General features: G+C 48.0%; 1 annotated feature.

The window, feature by feature from the left end:
* Window positions 14,173-14,672: an enhancer, noted in NCBI's record as "H3K4me1 hESC enhancer chr5:179850841-179851340 (GRCh37/hg19 assembly coordinates)". NCBI's record gives its function as "activates a minimal SCP1, AML or CMV promoter by ChIP-STARR-seq in primed H9 embryonic stem cells {active_cell/tissue: H9 hESC(primed)}" and the evidence as "EXISTENCE:reporter gene assay evidence [ECO:0000049][PMID:30033119]".

Genomic DNA, 18,979 nt, shown 5'->3' with positions numbered 1-18,979 from the left:
GAGTCTCACTCTTGTCACCCAGGCTGGAGTACAGTGGCGTGATCCTGGCTCACTGCAACCTCTGCCTCCCGGGTTCAAGTGATTCTCCTGCCTCAGCCTCCCGAGTAGCTGGGATTACAGGTGTGTGCCACCACACCCAGCTAATTTTTGTATTTTTAGTAGAGACAGGGTTTCACCATGTTGGCCAGGCTGGTCTGGAACTCCTGACCTCAGGTGAACTGCCCACCTTGGCCTCCCAAAGTGCTGGGATTACAGGCATGAGCCACCATGCCCAGCCAATAGAAACTCTTTTCTTTTTTTCTTTTTTTTTTTTTTTTGAGACAGAGTCTTGCTCTGTTGCCCAGGCTGGAATGCAGTGGCGCAATCTGGGCTCACTGCAAGCTCCGCCTCCCGGGTTCACACCATTCTCCTGCCTCAGCCTCCTGAGTAACAGGGACTACAGGCACCCGCCACCACGCCCGGCTAATTTTTTGTATTTTTAGTAGAGACGGGGTTTCACCGTGTTAACCAGGATGGTCTCAATCTCCTGACCTCGTGATCCGCCCGCCTCAGCCTCCCAAAGTGCTGGGATTACAGACGTGAGCCACCTCGCCCGGCCAGAAACTCTTTATCCACGCTGCAGGTGGGTGTAAACACAGGAAAGGCCTGCAAGGAGAAGGAGCAAAAGCTGAAACCGCTGTTACCTGGGACCTAGGATTTGGGCGGGGAATGGGGGCAGTTAATTGTACATATATATAAGAAAAGTGAATTCATGGATTACTTGGATATTTAAAACTAATCTAACAATACAAATGGAAAGTGGTTCTGAGGCTACGTGGAAGCTGCCAAGGCTCAGGGACACTTCCAGGCACAGAAGGAAGGCAGCACAGACAGGCCCCTGGGAGCCAGGTCAAGGACTGAAGAATACAGGAGGAGACACATGGGTACTCCCAGCACCACGCCAGGCCCACAGCGGGCCCTTATGCACAGCAGCTGCGGCCACCGTCCTGGGCAGTCTCTCCCTGGCCTGCCTTTATTTTATTTTAATTTTTTGTTGTTTAGAAATGGGATCTTGCCATGTTGCCCAGGCTGGTCTTGAACTCCTGGGTTCAAGTGATCTTCCCATCTTGGTCTCCCAAAGTGCTGGGATTACAGGTGTGAGCCGCCGGGCCCGGCCTCTCTGGTTTTCCTTTGACTGATGGGGGTGGGGACAAGCTGGGACCTTGGGGGTCAGACTCCAGCTAGCTGTGTGCTGAGGCTCCAACCCTGCTGTGTGGAGCCCTAAAGTCCTGAGCCTGAGGCTGCCCTGGGCTGGTGCTGCTGGACCGTTGGCTGCCCTGGGCTGGTGCTGCTGGACCGTTGGCTGCCCTGGGCTGGTGCTGCTGGACCATTGGCTGACCCAGCAGTCTTGGTCATCCAGGCCTGGTCTGTGGTCACTCCCCCAGCTCCAAAGCCCCTCGAGGTCGCAGCTGGAGGGAGAGGAGGTGCTACCGTCCTTAACCCAGCACCATCATGTTGGTCAGAACACTCAGACCTGGCCAAGCGGATGGAAGGGGCCTTTGCTGGGGGTAAAGCCTGGGGAAAACTTTCTTCCCTCAAAAGATGGAGAAGCTCCCAAGAGCCTCCTTCCTGCTGCCTTGTGCTCTAGACCCTGGGCTCTGGAAGGCCAGGGCAAGGCCAACTAACCAGATAAAGCTGAAAAGCAAAGGAGAATAGAGAGCCCAGGCCCTCAGCACATCGCCGGGCAGCTAAGCAGCCCTGATACTGAAATCCTGTTCCGCTCACTGCTGCTGTTTGGCATGTAGGGTGGGCATTCTGTTCCTCACAGCCAAACTGCCCTGCGGAGAAGCAGTGCAAACTGAAACCCTGCCAGCAACATGCCAGCGAGCCGCCTCCTGCAGCCTTTCCTGGAGAAGGGCTCTGTCCAAAACCCTTGATGAGAGAGCGAGGAGGATGCGATCTTGGGAAAAGGTCAAATGCCCTCACTCGAGCCCCTGGCCTGCCTCCCTAGCTGTGAAGCTGTGTGGACACTGCGGCGGATGCCCTGCCCAGAGCCGAGGCCTGCCCTAAGGTCACACGACTCTCCCCGTCTCTCTTCAGGGCAGGCTGGGCCTGGGGTGCGGGGGAATTGATTCCCCTGGGTAGAAGTGAGTGAGGAAATACCCCATCTTCTTCCACTCAGAGGGACCCCTTGAGGCTTGAGCCTCCGATTCTCTAGAAGACCCCAGGGGACAGAGCCTCGGTTGCTCCAGGGTAACTGCTCCTCGACACATTCTCATGGCCTCCCCTCCCTTCCCTGCCTCCCTTCCCCACACCCCACAGTGTTTCCTGGGAACCTGCACCCAAATAACCTACTTTGAGCACCCTGTTAACTACCTGCACATACGTCCTCGTTTCAGAGTCTGTTTCTGGGGATCCCAACTGAGACAGCAACCTCAAGCAAGCGGCACCCCCATTCGTGCCTCAGTTTCCCCATCTGTAAAGGGGGGATAATCGTGAGGGCTGGTGCCCAAGTGCCAATGCCTCCTGCTTCAGGTCACGGCACCCCACTCATCTGGGGGCTCGCCATGCCCCATGCTCAGTCTTAGTGGCACTTTCCATGCTGGTGCCCAGGCCTCCCTCGGCCCAGAGGAGCAAGCCCCAGGCAAGGCCAACTAGGGCAGCCCACCTGGGCTGTGAGCCCTGAAAGGTGTGCAGTGAGGACAGACAGACGGCTCAGTGCCCTGGCGAGGCTGCCCATGGTGCTCCCCTGCTCACCTCTCAGCCCCCACTCCAGCGGGTCTGGCTTCTGCTCGGGCCGGCCCTGGTCTCAAGCCTTCCTGCCCATTCCATAGGCTGCCCCTTGGCCTTCCATCACCCTGTCCATGCAAGCAAGCCAGGCTCCTGTGGATGGAAACAAATCCTGGCCCCCACTTCCTTTTTCCCCAGCTCTCTGCATTTCTAGGGGTCTCCAGGAGCATCTTCCATGTGTTTGATATAATGTGTGTGGCACCCTTGTCTCCTGCCAGTGGGGGGCATTGCCATGTTGCAACCCCGTTTCCATTTCCAGTGCCTTCACTGGGCACCTGAAACCTGGGAAGCACGCACTTTACCCCAGAACATGTGTTTTGAAGACAGGGACTCGACCTCTGCCTCTCCCCACAGGGACCCAGAAACCAGCCCCAAGTGGGGTTCCCTGCACCCCCTGCATCCTCCACCCCCTTCGTTTCTGTCCTCCCACTCCAAGCATCTACCCTCACATCAACCACACACACACCCAAAAATGCAAATAAGGGCTGGGCACAGTGGCTCACACCTGTAATCCTAGCACACTGGGAGTCCGAGGCGGATGGATTGCCTGAGTTCAGGAGTTTGAGACCAGCCTGGGAAACATGGTGAAACCCAGTCTCTACTAAAATTAAAAAAAAAAAAAAAAAAATTAGCCTGTAGTCCCAGCTACTCGTGAGGCTGAGGCAGGAGAATTGCTTGAACCCGGGAGGCGGAAGTTGCAGTTAGCCAAGCCAAGATCACACCACTGCACTCCAGCCTGGGCGACAGAGCGAGACTCCGTCTCCAAAAAAAAAAAAAAAAAAGCAAATAAGACAGGAACCCACGCAAGGCAGTGTACAGGGTCAGTGCACAGGGCTACTGACCCAGCGATTTGGCTGTATCCTAGTCTGGGCTCATCCTACATGACCAACGAGGTGCACAATTGAACCAACACAGTGGGGCACATGGAAGTTGCTGGACACATGACTGCCATCAAGAGCCACATCTCCAAGGACTCTACCTGCTCCCACCAGCACCTTCCAGTACCCCCAGGTCCCCACCCATCAATTAATGTAGCACAAGAGGTGGCAAAGTCATGGAAAAAAGAGATTGCCTCAATAGGGATAAACCAAGTAATTTGTGGGACAGCTATTTCATGGTAGACTAGGCAGCCTGGAAGAATGGATTAAATGCGAACAAACACACTTGGAGGAATTCCACAGTGAACTTCCAACCAGGATGCAGAGAAGTAAACATAATATCCCAAAACAAAACCGAGAAGAACTGCATGCGTGTGTGAATGGTTACATGAATGCGGAGAGAAAGGTAGGGAAGTTATACACCACGAGGTTAGAAATAGATGCCTGGAAGAGCTGGGCACGGTGGCTCACGCCTGTATCCCAGTACTTTGGGAGGCCGAGGCGGGTGGATCACCAGATTAGGAGTTTGAGACCAGCCTGGCCAACACGGTGAAACTCCATCACTACTAAAAATAAAAAAATTGACTGTGCACGGTGGCTCACACCTGTAATCCCAGCACTTTGGGAGGCCGAGGCGGGCAGATCATGAGTTCAGGAGATCGAGACCATCCTGGCTAACACAGTCAAAACTCCACCTCTACTAAAAATACAAAAAATTAACTGGGCGTGGTGGCAGGCGCCTGTAGTCCCAGCTACTCGGGAGGCTAAGGCAAAATCATTGCTTGAATCTGGGAGGTGGAAGTTGCAGTAAGCCAAGACTGTGCGACTGCACTCCGGCCTGGGCAACAGAGTGTGAGTCTGTCTCAAAAAAAAAAAAAAAAAAAGAGAAAGCGTGGAGGAGAGGAAAGAAGGGAGAAAGCTGCCAGGACCACATAGCTAGGAAGTAGGGAAGATGTTATTCAAACCCACATCCAAAGCCACTTTGGCAGAATAATGGATCTCCTTCTCTGTACGTCCTGCTCCCTATCCCCTGGTCCAGGAAGCTCTCTGTCCTCAGGGCCCTTGGAGTAAGATGCTTCCTGGAGAAACGCCTGGAGGAAGGCACAGACCAGAGCTGGTATTTGCTGGGAGGCCTTAGGGATCCATGGCTTGGACCATCCATCGCTCTTACAGGAAAAGCTTTTAGGTACAGAGACAGGGTGTACTGAATTCCAAAGGAGAGCGTGAGCTCTTGGTTAGCACAATGCTGTGACAGCCCAGTTCCCTGGGCAGGTGTGGGGCCTCCCAGAGCTGGAGCAAGTAAAGCGGAGACAAGCGTGTCTGAGCCTCTGAAAAAGGACCCTGCTTTCAACTCACTCCTCCCACCTCCCAAGGGTGAGACAGGGCCATGAGCCAGAAAGGCTCAAGGGACCCAGAATAGAGGGTATCTTCCCAGGGAGCCGCAGGAGCCAGGACCCCACTAAAAACACCAGGTCTAGCACCAGAGGCTAAAGGGCAGCAGAGCCCTGGGCCCACGCAAGGAGGGTGGACCTAAGTGCAGCCTCTAGAGAGACATGTGGGCTCCCACCCACAGCTCATGGGTGCCATGAGGGAGGCAGAAGCAAGCTAGCTGAAGAAACCCCAAAGACACAGAGTGAAGCAGGAAGTGGCAGGAGTGTGGGCATCTCTGTGTGTCCCGGATTCGTGGGTGCTTGGTCTCCCTGACTTCAAGAATGAAGCCACAAACTTTCGCAGTGAGTGTTACAATTCTTAAAGATGGTGCGTCCTGAGTTTGTTACTTTAGATGTTCAGACATGCCCACAGTTTCTTTCTTCTGGTGGGTTCGTGATCTCACTGACTTCAGAAGTGAAGCTGCAGACCTTCACAGTTAGTGTCACACCTCATAAAGGCAACTTGGACCCAATAAATTAGAAACAACATTTATCGCAAAGAGCTAACAAACTAACCTTCTCACAAGGTGGAAAAGGACCCCAGTGCTGGCTTACGCAGCCTGCTGCTTTTATTCCCTTATCTGGCCCCACCCACATCCTGCTGATTGGCCCATTTTACAGAGAGCTGATTGGTCCATTTTACAGAGAGCTGATTGGTCTGTTTTACAGAGAACTGATTGGTCCGTTTTGACAGGGTGCTGATTGGTGCGTTTACAATCCCTGAGCTAGACACAGAGTGCTGATTGGTGCATTTACAATCCTCTAGCTAGACATAAAAGTTTTCCAAGACCCGCCCCCCAGCCCAACACGACTCAGAAGTCCAGCTGGTTTTACCTAGTGGATTCTGTGCCAGGGCTGCTAGCAGCCAGTCCCGGGGCGCACGCCTACACTTCTCAGTCCTTGGGTGGTCGACGGGACCAGGCGCCGCGGAGCAGGGGGCGCACCTGTAGGGGAGAGGCTCACTGTGCGGGAGCCCACGTCGGGAGGGGTAGGGGCTAGGGGGTGGCAGGTTGCAGGTGCCGAGCCCTGCCACATGGGGAGGCTGCTGAGGCCCGGCAAGAATTCCAGTGTGCTGCAGGCAGGCCAGCAGCGTTGGGGGACCACGCACCCTCCACAGCTGCTGGCCCAGGTGCTAAGCCCCTCACCACCCGGGGCTGGTGGCCCTGGCTGGCCGCTCCGAGTGCAGGGCTCGCCGAGCCCACGCCCACCCAGAACTCGCGCTGTCCCGCGAGAGCGCACAGCCCCTGTTCGCGCCTCCCGCCAGCGCTTCTCCCTCTACACCTCCACGCAAGCAGAGGGAGCCGGCTCCGGCCTCGCCAGCCCAGAGAGGGGCTCCTGCAGTGCAGAGGCGGGCTGAAGGGCTCCTCAAGCACGGCCCGAGTGGACGCCCAGGCCAAGGAGGCGCCGAGAGAGCGAGGGCTGCTAGCACGTTGTCACCTCTCACCAGCAGCTTCAGGAGACACCAAGACTGGAGAGCCACCTACAGTGCTGCTGCAGCAGGTGCCTTCCATCTAGGTCCCCTCCCCACTGGCCCTGTCACCTCTTGAGAATCTAGAACTCAGACATCACCCTGGAAGAAGAACAGGGAGAAGAACCGTGACAGGACTGATACCTAAACACCACATAGTTGAGAAATAAAATTGGACAGGACTCACCCAGAGTGGCTCAACAAGGATTCTTCAGCACACATCTTGGGCCAGAGACAGTGGAGTCATGGCTTTTGCACATCTGGTTTGAGGACTGTGGGGTTCGTGCCCTGCCTTGCCACTTGCTGACATCTGGAGCTCCACAGTTGGCAAGGTCCAGGTTTGTCTTATTCCCCACGCTGTCCTGCCCAGTGTTGTGCACGTTATAGAAGCCAAGTAAGGACTTATTTAATGGCTATATAATTGGAGAAGAGTGTCCAGCATCTAGCCTTGGAGAAGGCTGGCCGTAATCACAATTAGAATACAAAATATTGGCCGGGCACGGTGGCTCAAACCTGTAATCCCAGCAGTTTGGGAGGCCGAGGTGGGGGGATCACCATCCTGGCCAGCACAGTGAAACCCTGTCTCTACTGAAAATACGAAAAGTAGCCAGGTGTGGTGACACGCGCCTGTAGTCCCAGCTACTCAGGAGGCTGAGGCAGAAGAATTGCTGGAACCCAGGAGGCGGAGCTTGCGGTGAGCCGAGATTACGCCACTGCACTCCAGCTTGGTGACAGAGTGAAAATCTATCTCAAAAAAAAAAAAAATACAAAACAGTTTAGCCACCCCCCCAAAACTCCCTCATGCCATCCGTTTGTAGAAAATCCAGCCCCTTGACCAGGCGAGGTGGCTCACACCTGTAATCCCAGCACTTCGGGAGACCGGGGTGGGTGGATCACCTGAAGTTAGGAGTTTGAGACCAGCCTGGCCAACATGGTGAAACCCCATCTCTACTAAAAGTACAAAAATTTAGCCTGCTGTGGTGGCACATGCCTGTAGCCCCAGCTACTCGGGAGGCAGAGGCATGAGAATCGCTTGAACCTGGGAGCTGGAGCTTGCAGTGAGCCGAGATGGCGCCATTGCACTCTAGCCTGGGCAACAGAGTGAGACTCCGTCTCAAAAAGAAAAAAGAAAATAAAACCCAGCCCCTATATTTAACTCCTGGTTACCACTGATAGATTTATCTTTTCGGGAATGTCCTATAACTTCTTGAGTGTAACCCCAGCAGAGGGCCTCAGACATTCGTGCTAGTTACTACACGTATCAATAGCTCATTGTTCTTAGCACTGGGAGTCTTTCATGCTATGAATGAACCACAGTTTATCCATTCACTTGTGTTATTTCTGATTTTTTGGCAATTATGAATTGAGCTGCTGTAAACATTGGTGTAAGATTTTTGTGTGGCCGGGCACGGTGGCTCACGCCTGTAATCCCAGCACTTTGGGAGGCCGAGGCAGGCCGATCACGAGGTCAGGAGATCGAGACCATCCTAGCTAACACGTGAAACCCCGTCTCTACTAAAAATACAAAAAATTAGCCGGGCGTGGTGGCGGGCACCTGTAGTCCCAGCTACTCGGGAGGCCGAGGCAGGAGAATGGTGTGAACCCGGGAGGCGGAGCTTGCCGTCAGCCAAGATAGCGCCACTGCATTCCCGCAGCGAAAGAGCGAGACTCTGTCTCAAAAAAAAAAAAAAAAAAAAAAAAAAAGGATTTTTGTGTGAATATATGTTTTCATTTCTCTCAGAAACACCTGAGTGGGACTCCAGAGTCATATATAAGCACATGTTTAGCTCTGTAAGAAGCTGCTAAGCTTACCCAAAGTGGCTGCACCATTTTTGTGCTCCCACCAGCAATGGATGTGAGTTCCAGTTACTTTGTATCCAGCACTTGGTATTGACAGAGTTTATTTGAGGGTTTGCTTAATTCTAGTCATTCTCAAAGGTATGTGATGGTATCTCATTTTGGTTTTAATTTGCAGAGCAAAACGTTTCCATTTTGGTGAAGTCATATTTATCAAGTTCTACTTTTTTTTTTTTGAGACGGAGTCTCTGTCACCCAGGCTGTAGTGCAGTGGTGCAATCTTGGCTCACTGCCACTTCCACCTCCCCAGTTCAAGCGATTCTCCCACTTCAGCCTCCTGAGTAGCAGGGATTACAGGCGCCCGCCACCACAACCGGCTAATTTTTGCATTTTTAGTAGAGACGGGATTTCACCATGTTGGCCAGGCTGGTCTTGAACTCCTGACCTCAAGTGATCCACCCGCCTCAGCCTCCCCAAAGTGCTAAGATTACAGACATGAGCCACCACACCTGGCTCTATTAAGTTTTACTTTTGTGAGTCATGCTTTTGGTATTGTATCTGAGAACTCTGCCTAAGCTAAGATCATGAAGGTTTTCTCCTACACTTTCAAGTTTTCTAAGTTTTCATTTTATATTTAGATATATGATCCATTTTGACTTAATTTTTGTATAATGTGAGGTTTGGGTTGAGGTTCATTATTATTGCAACAAAACTGTTGAAAATATTATCCATTCTTTGTCAAATCGTCTTTGCACCTTTCTAAAAGATAAATTGCCCGTAATTGTGTGGGTCAATTTCTAGACTTTCTATTCCTTTGAATTCATCTATGTGTCTGCCCCCTCTCCAGTACCGTGCTGTCTTGATGACTGTAACTTTATAAGGTCTTAAAATCAAATAGCGTGGAGTTCCACTTGTGGCCAAGATCGATAAACAGGGACCGGATTGACCCTCCTTCCTAAAACAGCAGCAACAAATAAACAAAACCAGGCAAAATATGTGAAACAATGGTTTTCAAGACACAGGACAATGTAGGACAGTAATCCCTGACAGACGGGAAGCAAACAAGATGTTCCCTGCAATTACCCCAGCTTGCCTTGAGGTGGTTTCCAGGCTGTGGAGCAGAAAAGGAAACTGAGGCAGATTCAGTAGCCTTCTTGAGGAGATGTGGTTGAGAGAGAACAAGGCCACTAAAGGTCACAGGACAGAATTCCAGGGAGGAGAGAGTTGTGCAGAGAGAGAACTGGGGAGATTTGTACAGGGCCCTCCTGAGTAAGCACCAGAGCACACGCATATGCGGAAACTACCCATGGCCAGGGCAAGAACCTCATGGAAGGGTTACAGGGAGCACGGCCTGGACACAGCCTGAAACCCAAACAGGGCTGGGAACACTGTTCTCACCGGCTTACAGGAAAAACTCATAATTCACGGGCTATTGGGTACAGTGTTCAGGGAGGTCTTGCCTTAATAATAGGGAATAATTACCCGTAGACGGCGTTGCTTTGGACCTGCATAACAAGTAATAAAAGCAAGATCTGAAAGGATCAAGTTGTTTCCAAGTAACTTAACTGTGTCTTAGAACAAAGTTCAAGAATTCCCACAGAATACAAAAATATTCAGCACCCAACAAGATGAAATTCACAGTATCTAGCATCCAGTCAAAGATCACCTGGTGTACAAAGAAGCCAGAACGCATGCCTCCTAATGGGAAGAATCATCAAATCAAGACCTACCCAGAACGACGTATACGTTAGAATTAGCAGACAAGAGCGTTAAGACAGTTACTGTGCCCCGATTACAACACTCAGTACGTTAGTTATGGACATAGCACTTCCAGAGATGAAAATTACAATGCCGAATATGAAAAATACACTGAGTGGGATTAAGGGCAGGTCAAACATTTTAGGAGAAAAAGGGTAGCGAATTTGAAAAACAAGGAGAAAAAAGTAAATTAAAAAATGAAAAGAGCATAAATGATTTGTAGGAAGGCTTCAGACAACATAATACGTGTGTAATTTGGAATCATCAAGGGAGAGGAGAGAGAAGAAAAGGAACAGAAAAAATACTTGAAGAAATAATGGTCCTGAGTTTCCCAAAGTTAATTAAAAATAAATTCACAGATGCAGGAAGCTCAACAAAGCTCAAGCAAAAGAAACCAGAAAAAAATCACATCATAATCACAAAGCTTCAAACCAGTAATAAAGAGAAAAACTTCAAAGCAGCCCCAGAAATCCTTCTATACAGAGGAACAAAGATAAAGCTGACACTAGATTTCTTGTCTGGAGAAGACAGTGGAATAGTGAAAATATTTTTCAAAAATAAAAGTGATGGGCAGGCATGGTGGCTCATGCCTGTAAACCCAATAGTTTGGAGGTGAAGGTGGGAGGATCTTTTGAGGCCAGGGGTTCAAGACCAGCCTGGGCGACATAGCAAGCTCTTATCTCTACAAAAAGATTTAAAAAATAGCCGGGCACGCTGGTGCACACCTACAGTCCTAGCTACTCAGGAGGCTGAAGCAGGAGGATCCCTTGAGCCCAGGAGTTTGAGGCTGCAGTGAGCTATGATTGCACCACTGCACTCCAGCCTGGGCAACATTGAACAACAGAGGCCAGATGCGGTGGCTCACACCTGCAATCCTAGCACTTTGGGAGGTCAAGGTGGGTGGATTGCCTGAGTCCAGGAGTTCAAGACGAGCCTGGGCAACATGGCGAAACCCCATCTCTACTAAAAATAAAGTATCCGGGCATGGTGGTGTGTGCTTGCCGTCCCAGCTATCTGGGGTCTAAGGTGGGAGAATGGCTTGAGCCCAGGAGGTCAAGGCTGCAGTGAGCCATGATCATTCCACTGTACTCCAGCCTGGGCGACAGAGCAAGACCTCATCTAAAAAAAAAAAATGAGCAACAGAAAGATAGCTCTGAAATCCTCAAATATTTCAAAACTCAGTTAAACAATTCTAAATAACCCATGGGTGAAAGAATAAATCAAAAGTAAATTAGCCAAATTAGTAATTATTCTGAATGGAATGAAAGTGAAAAAACAAAATATCAGAACTTGTGGGATGCAGGTGAAGTGCGAAATTTATGGCACTATATGCTTCTATTAGAAAAGAGAAAATATCTCAAATCGATGGCTTCAGATTATACCATAAGAAACAAGAAAAAGGAGAACAAATACAATGCAAAGCAAGCAGAAGAAATATAAGAATCAAAGAGGAGCCGGGCGCGGTGGCTCACGCCTGTAATCCCAGCACTTTGGAAGGCCGAGGCGGGCGGATCACGAGGTCAGGAGATCGAGACCATCCTGGCTAACACGGTGAAACCCCATCTCTACTAAAAATACAAAAAATTAGCCAGGCGTGGTGGCGGGCGCCTGTAGTCCCAGCTACTCGGGAGGCTGAGGCAGGAGAATGGTGTGAACCTGGGAGGCGGAGCTTGCGGTGAGCCGGGATCGCTACACTGCACTCCAGCCTGGGAGACAGTGCGAGACTCAGTTTCAAAATATATATAAAATATATATATATAATGTATACATTATATATAATATATACATTATATGTGATATATACATTATATATGTATACATTATATATAATATATATATTATATATATATATATGCCGGGCATAGTGGCTCACGCTTGTAATCCCAGGGCTTTGGGAGGCTGAGGCGGGTGGATCACGAGGTCAGGAGATCGAGACCATCCTGGCTAACAGGGTGAAACCCCGTCTCTACTAAAAAATACAAAAAATTAGCCGGGCGTCATAGCGGGCGCCTGTAGTCCCAGCTACTCTGGAGGCTGAGGCAGGAGAATGGCGTGAGCCCTGGAGGCAGAGCTTGCAGAGATAGCACCACTGCACTCCAGCCTGGGCGACAGAGCGAGACTCCGTCTCAAAAAAAAAAAAAAAAAAAAAAGAATCAAAGAGGAAATCAATAAAATTGAAAACAAAAAAAAGAGAGACCTATAAAATTGGTAAACTTCTAGCCAAATTGATTAGAATGAAAGAGAGGATACAAATTCAAGAGCAGAAATGAAAGAGATTATAGTACTACAAATTCCACAAGTATTTGAAGGATGATGAAGTAATATTATAAAACAATCGAGACCTGGACTGGCATGGTGGCTCACACCTGTAATCCCAGCACTTTGGGAGGCCGAGGCGGGCGGATCACGAGGTCAGGAGATCGAGACCATCCTGGCTAACACAGTGAAACCCCGTCTCTACTAAAAATACAAAAAATTAGCCGGGCGTGGTGGCGGGCACCTGTAATCCCAGCTACTTGGAGAGGCTGAGGCAGGAGAATGGTGTGAACCTGGGAGGCGGAGCTTGCGGTGAGCCGAGATCGCTACACTGCACTCCAGCCTGGGAGACAGCGCGAGACTCAGTTTCAAAATATATATAAAATATATATAATATTTACATTATAAGTAATATATACATTATATATAATATGTACATTATATATTATATATTATATATATTATATATATATATAGGCCGGGCACAGTGGCTCACGCTTGTAATCCCAGGGCTTTGGGAGGCTGAGGTGGGTGGATCACCTGAGGTCAGGAGGTCAAAAGCAGCCTGGCCAACAGTGAAACCTCGTCTCTACTAAAAATACAAAAATTAGCCAGGCGTGGTGGTCGGTGCCTGTAATCCCAGCTACTCGGGAGGCTGAGACAGGAGAATTGCTTGAACCTGGGCGGTGGAGGTTGCAGTGAGCTGAGATAGCACCATTACACTCCCACCTGGGCAACAGAGTGAGACTCCATCTCAAAAAAAAAAAAAAAAAGAAAAAAAAAAAAGAAAGAAAGAAAGACATATTGTCTATAAATTTGAAAGCCTAGATTAAATGCACAAATTCCTTGGAAGCCACAGACATTAAAAATGACTCAAGAAGAAACAGATAACTTAAGTAGCACTTTGTTTATTAAAGAAATTAAATTCGTAGTTACAAACTCACCCACAAAGAAAACTCCAGGCCCTGGTGCTTTCACTGGGGAATTCTACCAAACATTTAAATAAGAAATAATAACGATTTTACACAAACAAATCCATAAAATTGAAGTGAAGAGAATATTTCCCAGCTATTTCTATGAGGCTGCTATTATGCTGATATCAAAACCGAAGACAAGGCTGGGCATGGTGGCGGGCACCTGTAATCCCAGCTACTTGGGAGGCCGAGACAGGAGAATTGCTTGAACCCAGGAGGCAGAGCTTGCAGTGAGCCAAGATACTGCGACTGAACTCCAGCGCGGGAGACAGAGTGAGACTCCATCTCAAAATAATAATAATTATCATCATCCAAAGACATTACAAGAAAAGAAAATTAAGGACTAAAATCTCTAATGAATATAGATGAATTTTTTAAAGAAAAGTTTATAAAGATTAACTTATAAAGATTAATACATTATGACCTATAGGGGTTTATCTCAAGAAGGCAAGTTTGGCTTAGCATTCATTCAAAAATCGAATAAAATATGTCATGTTTAGTGGGTTGACTAGTGTCCCTCAAAAATGTATGTTGGCTGGGCGCAGTGGCTCACGCCTGTAATCCCAGCACTTTGGGAGGCTGAGGCAGGTGGATCACCCGAGGTCGGGAGTTCGAGACCAGCCTGACCAACATGGAGAAACCCCATCTCTACTAAAAATACAAAATTAGCTGGTGTAGTGGCACATGCCTATAATCCCAGCCTCCCGAGGGAGGCTGAGGCAGAAGAATTGCTTGAACCCAGGAGGTGCAGATTACAGTGGGCAGAGATTGTGCCATTGCACTCCAGCCTGGGCAACAAGAACGAGACTCTGTCTCAAAAAAAAAAAAAAAAAACAACTGTGTGTCAGCCGGGCACAGTGACTCATGTCTGTAATTCCAGCACTTTGGGAGCCTGAGGTGGGAGGCTCGCTTGAGCCCGGAGTTTGAGATGAGCCTGGGAAACATAGTAAGATGCTGCCTCTACAAAAAATTTAAAAATTAGCTGTGTGTAGTGGTATGCACCCGTGGTCTTGGCTACCTGGGAGGCTGAGGCAGGTGGATTGCCTGAGTCCAGGACTTTGAGGCTGCAGTGAGCTGTGATCGTGCCACTGCCCTTCAGCCTAGACAACAGAGCGAGGCCATGTCTCAAAAAAAAAAAAAAAAAAAAAAAGGTCATTTCCACCCAGAACCTCAGAATGTGACCTTATTTGGAAATAGTCTTTTTAGATGTAATTAGTTAAGGATCTCAGATGAAACTGTCCGGAATTTAGGGTGGTCCCTAAGTCCAATGACTGGTGTCCTTGTAAGGAGAGAAGTGACCACAGAGGCAAACAAGAAGGGCCGTGTGAAGGTGAAGGCAGACAGAGATCAGCGCTGCGCCACCATTACCCAGGGAAGGCCTGGGGCCACCAGACGCTGGAAACAGCAGGCAGGTTCTTCCCTGGAGCTTTGAGTGAGCATGGCCCAGCTGGCACCTTGATTTCAGATTTCTAGCCTCCATAACCATGAGAGAATCAATTTTTGTGTTTTAAAGACACCAAGTTTGTGGTAATCTGTTACCATAGGAAACTAGTACACCATATTAAGAAACTAAAAAAGAAAAATCATATAATCACCTCAATCAATTAAAGAAAAAGCATTTGACAAAATCCAACATCTACTCCTGATAAAAAACAAGTTTCAGCAAACTAGGGAGCTTCCTCAACCTGGTAAAGAGCGTATGGAAAACCTCCAGCTAACATAATATTAATACTGAAAGGCTAAATACCTTTTCCTACAACCAGGAATGTGGCAAAAATATTCACCCTCACCACCTCCACTCAGGATTGCACTGGAGGCTCTAGCCAGTGCAGTCAGGCATAAAAAAGAAATAAAAGTCATCCAAATTGGGAAAGAAGAAAAAAACAATGGTTTTATTCACAGATGGCATGATCCCCTATGGAGAAACTATGATGAAATCTACAAACAAAACAAAACAAAAAAAAACCCTACTAGAATTCATAACTGGGTTTAGCAAGATTGCAGAGTTCGAAATAAATATACAAAATTAATTATATTTCTACATATCAGGATTGAAAAATGAGATATTGAAGTTAAAGATAAACATCATTTAAAATAGCATTAAAATATGACAAATCTGAGAAAATATGTGAAAGGCCTGTGTATTCACACTACAAACCATATCTGAGAAAAATTAAAGACTATCTAAATAAATGGGGAGATATACTTCACTCATGTGCTGGAAGATTCTCTATTGCTAAGATGTTTGCTCTACCAAAGTTAATCTACAGATTCAGTGCCATCTCAGTCATAATCCCAGGAAGCTATTTAGTGAAAATTGACTAGGTGATTCTAAAATTCTTATGGAAATGTGAAGGACCTACAACAGCCAAGATAGCTTTTGAGAACAATGAAGGACTAACCCATACCAGATTTCAGGACTTTTAAACTTACAATGATCCAGACAGTGTGGTTATCAGCCTGAAGATACCATCTTTTCAGTTATTTGAGAATTTTTTCATATTTCATTTTAATTTTTTTTTTTTGAGATGGAGTTTCTGTCTTGTCACCCAGGCTGGAGTGCAATGGCACCATCTCGGCTCACTGCAACCTCTGCCTCCCAGGTTCAAGCAATTCTCCTGCCTCAGCCTCCCGAGTAGCCGGAAGTACAGGCGTGCCCACCACGCCTGGGTAATTTTTGTATTTTTAGTAGAGATGGGGTTTCTCCAGGTTGGTCAGGCTGGTCTCGAACTCCTGACCTCAGGTGATCCACCTGCCTTGGCCTCCCAAAGTGCTGGGATTACAGGCGTGAGCCACTGCGCCTGGCCTCCATTTTAATTTATCTATATGCTTCTGACATATATCTTTTTTATTTTATTTATTTATTTATTTAGACAGAGTCTCGCTCTGTTGCCAAGCTGGAGTGTAGTGGTGCCATCTCGGCTCACTACAACCTCCACCTCCCAGGTTCAAGTGATTCTCCTGCCTCAGCCTCCCGAGTAGCTCTCGATCTTTTGACTTCCTGATCTGCCTGCCTCAGCCTGCCAAAGTGCTGGGATTACAGATGTGAGCCACCGCGCCCAGCCTGTTTCTGATATGTATCTTTGCATGTTTTTTAGTGATCACACTAGGGATTGTGATTTGTATATACAACTTTTCACTGTCTGCTCAGAATCAACATTTTGACTTTAAATAGAATACAAAGACCTTCACCACACCCTCTCCTTTTACACCGTAGTTGTCTTATGTGTTGTATCTATTTGCATTAGGAGCCCCACCAGGTAATGCTATAGTTTATTTATTATTTATATGTTATTTATTATTTCTATTTTATTATTTATATATTATTTATTTATTACTTGGTATTTTACTTTAAGTTCCAGGATTACCATTTGACCCAGCGATCCCATTACTGGGTATATACCCAAAGGATTATAAATCATTCTGTTATGAAGACACTTGCACACATGTGTGTCAGGCCTCTGAGCCCAGGCTAAGCCATCATATCCCCTGTGACCGGCACCTATACATCCAGATGGCCTGAAGCAACTGAAGATCCACAAAAGAAGTGAAAATAGCCTTAACTGATGACATTCCACCATTGTGATTTGTTTCTGTCCCAACCTAACTGATCAATGTACTTGGTAATCTCCCCCACCCTTAAGAAGGTTCTTTGTAATTCTCCCCACCCTTGAGAATGTACTTTGTGAGATCCACCCCCTGCCTGCAAAACATTGCTCCTAACACCACCGCCTATCCCAAAACCTATAAGAACCATGATAATCCACCACCCTTTGCTGACCCTTTTCGGACTCAGCCCGCCTGCACCCAGGTGAAATAAACAGCCTTGTTGCTGACACAAAGCCTGTTTGGTGGTCTCTTCACACGGACGCATGAAACAATATGTTTACTGCAGCACTACTTATAGTTTTTTATTATTTCTTTATTTATTTTTTGAGACGGAGTCTCTCTCTGTTGCTCAGGCTGGAGTGCAGTGGTGCGATCTTGGCTCACTGCAACCTCCACCTCCTGGATTCAAGCGATTTTCCTGCCTCAGCCTCCCGCTGAGTGGTAGGCGCCCGCCACCACTCCTAGCAAAATTTTATTTATTTATTTTTATTTTTTAGTAGAGACAGGGTTTCGTCATGTTGGCCAGGCTGGTCTTGAACTCCTGACCTCAGGTGATCCACCTGTCTCGGCCTCCCAAAGTGCTGGGATTACAGGTGTGAGCCACCGTGCCTGGACACTTTTTTATTTTTAACATCAAACATGTTTTAAAGTATTTTAAAGGACCTAATAGAAGAATAGCCTATGTATTTACCCATACATAGGTAAATGTTCTTCTTCCTTTATTCCTCCTGTTTCAAGTTTCCTTTTTATATAATTCCCCTTCCGTCTCAAAAAAATTCCTCTAAAATCTTTGAAAGGTAGGGTACCAGTGACAAATTATCTTAGTTTCTCTTCCTCTGAGAATGTCTTTATTTCACCTCATTCCTGGAGAATATTTTTACTAGATCTGAAATTCCATATTGAACCATTCTTTCCTTCCCACAATTTAACAATAGTCTTCCATTCTCTTCTGTGTGCCATGGTTTCTGATGTGAAATCCGCAGTTATAGGCCAGGTGCGGTGGCTCACTCCTGTAATCCCAGCACTTTGGGAGGCTGAGGCGGGTGGATCACCTGAGGTCAGTGTCAGGCCTCTGAGCCCAGGCCAGGCCATCGCATCCCCTGTGACTTGCAGGTATACATCCAGATGGCCTGAAGTAACTGAAGATCCACAAAAGAAGTAAAAACAGCCTTAACTGATGACATTCCACCATTGTGATTTGTTCCTGCCCCACCCTAACTGATCAATGTACTTTGTAATCTCCCCCACCCTTAAGAAGGTTCTTTGTAATTCTCCCCACCCTTGAGAATGTACTTGGTGAGATCCACCCCTGCCCACCAGAGAACAACCCCCTTTGACTGTAATTTTCCATTACCTTCCCAAATCCTATAAAACGGCCCCACCCCTATCTCCCTTCGCTGACTCTCTTTTCGGACTCAGCCCGCCTGCGCCCAGGTGAAATAAACAGCCATGTTGCTCACACAAAGCCTGTTTGGTGGTCTCTTCACACGGATGCGCATGAAATTTGGTGCCGTGACTCAGATCAGGGGACCTCCCTTGGGAGATCAATCCCCTGTCCTCCTGCTCTTTGCTCCGTGAGAAAGATCCACCTATGACCTCAGGTTCTCAAACCGACCAGCCCAAGAAACATCTCACCAATTTCAAATCTGGTAAGCAGCCTTTTACTCTCTTCTCCAATCTCCCTCACTATCCCTCAGCCTCTTTCTCCTTTCAATCTTGGTGCTACACTTCAATCTCTCCCTTCTCTTAATTTCAATTCCTTTCATTTTCTGGTAGAGACAAAAGAGACACGTTTTATCCGTGGACCCAAAACTCCGGCGCCGGTCACGGACTGGGAAGGCAGCCTTCCCTTGGTGTTTAATCATTGCAGGGACACCTCTCTGATTATACACTCACGTTTCAAGGGTGTCAGACCACGCAGGGACGCCTGCCTTGGTCCTTCACCCTTAGCGGCAAGTCCCGCTTTTCTGGGGAAGGGGCAAGTACCCCAACCCCTTCTCTCCTTGTCTCTACCCCTTCTCTGCTTTTCTGGGGAAGGGG

The sequence above is a fragment of the Homo sapiens genome, chromosome 5 (genome assembly GCF_000001405.40).
Source record: "Homo sapiens chromosome 5, GRCh38.p14 Primary Assembly".
NCBI lineage: Eukaryota > Metazoa > Chordata > Mammalia > Primates > Hominidae > Homo > Homo sapiens.
The sequence above is the reverse complement of the archived record's forward strand: the minus strand, read 5'-3'. Positions and strand labels throughout refer to the sequence as shown.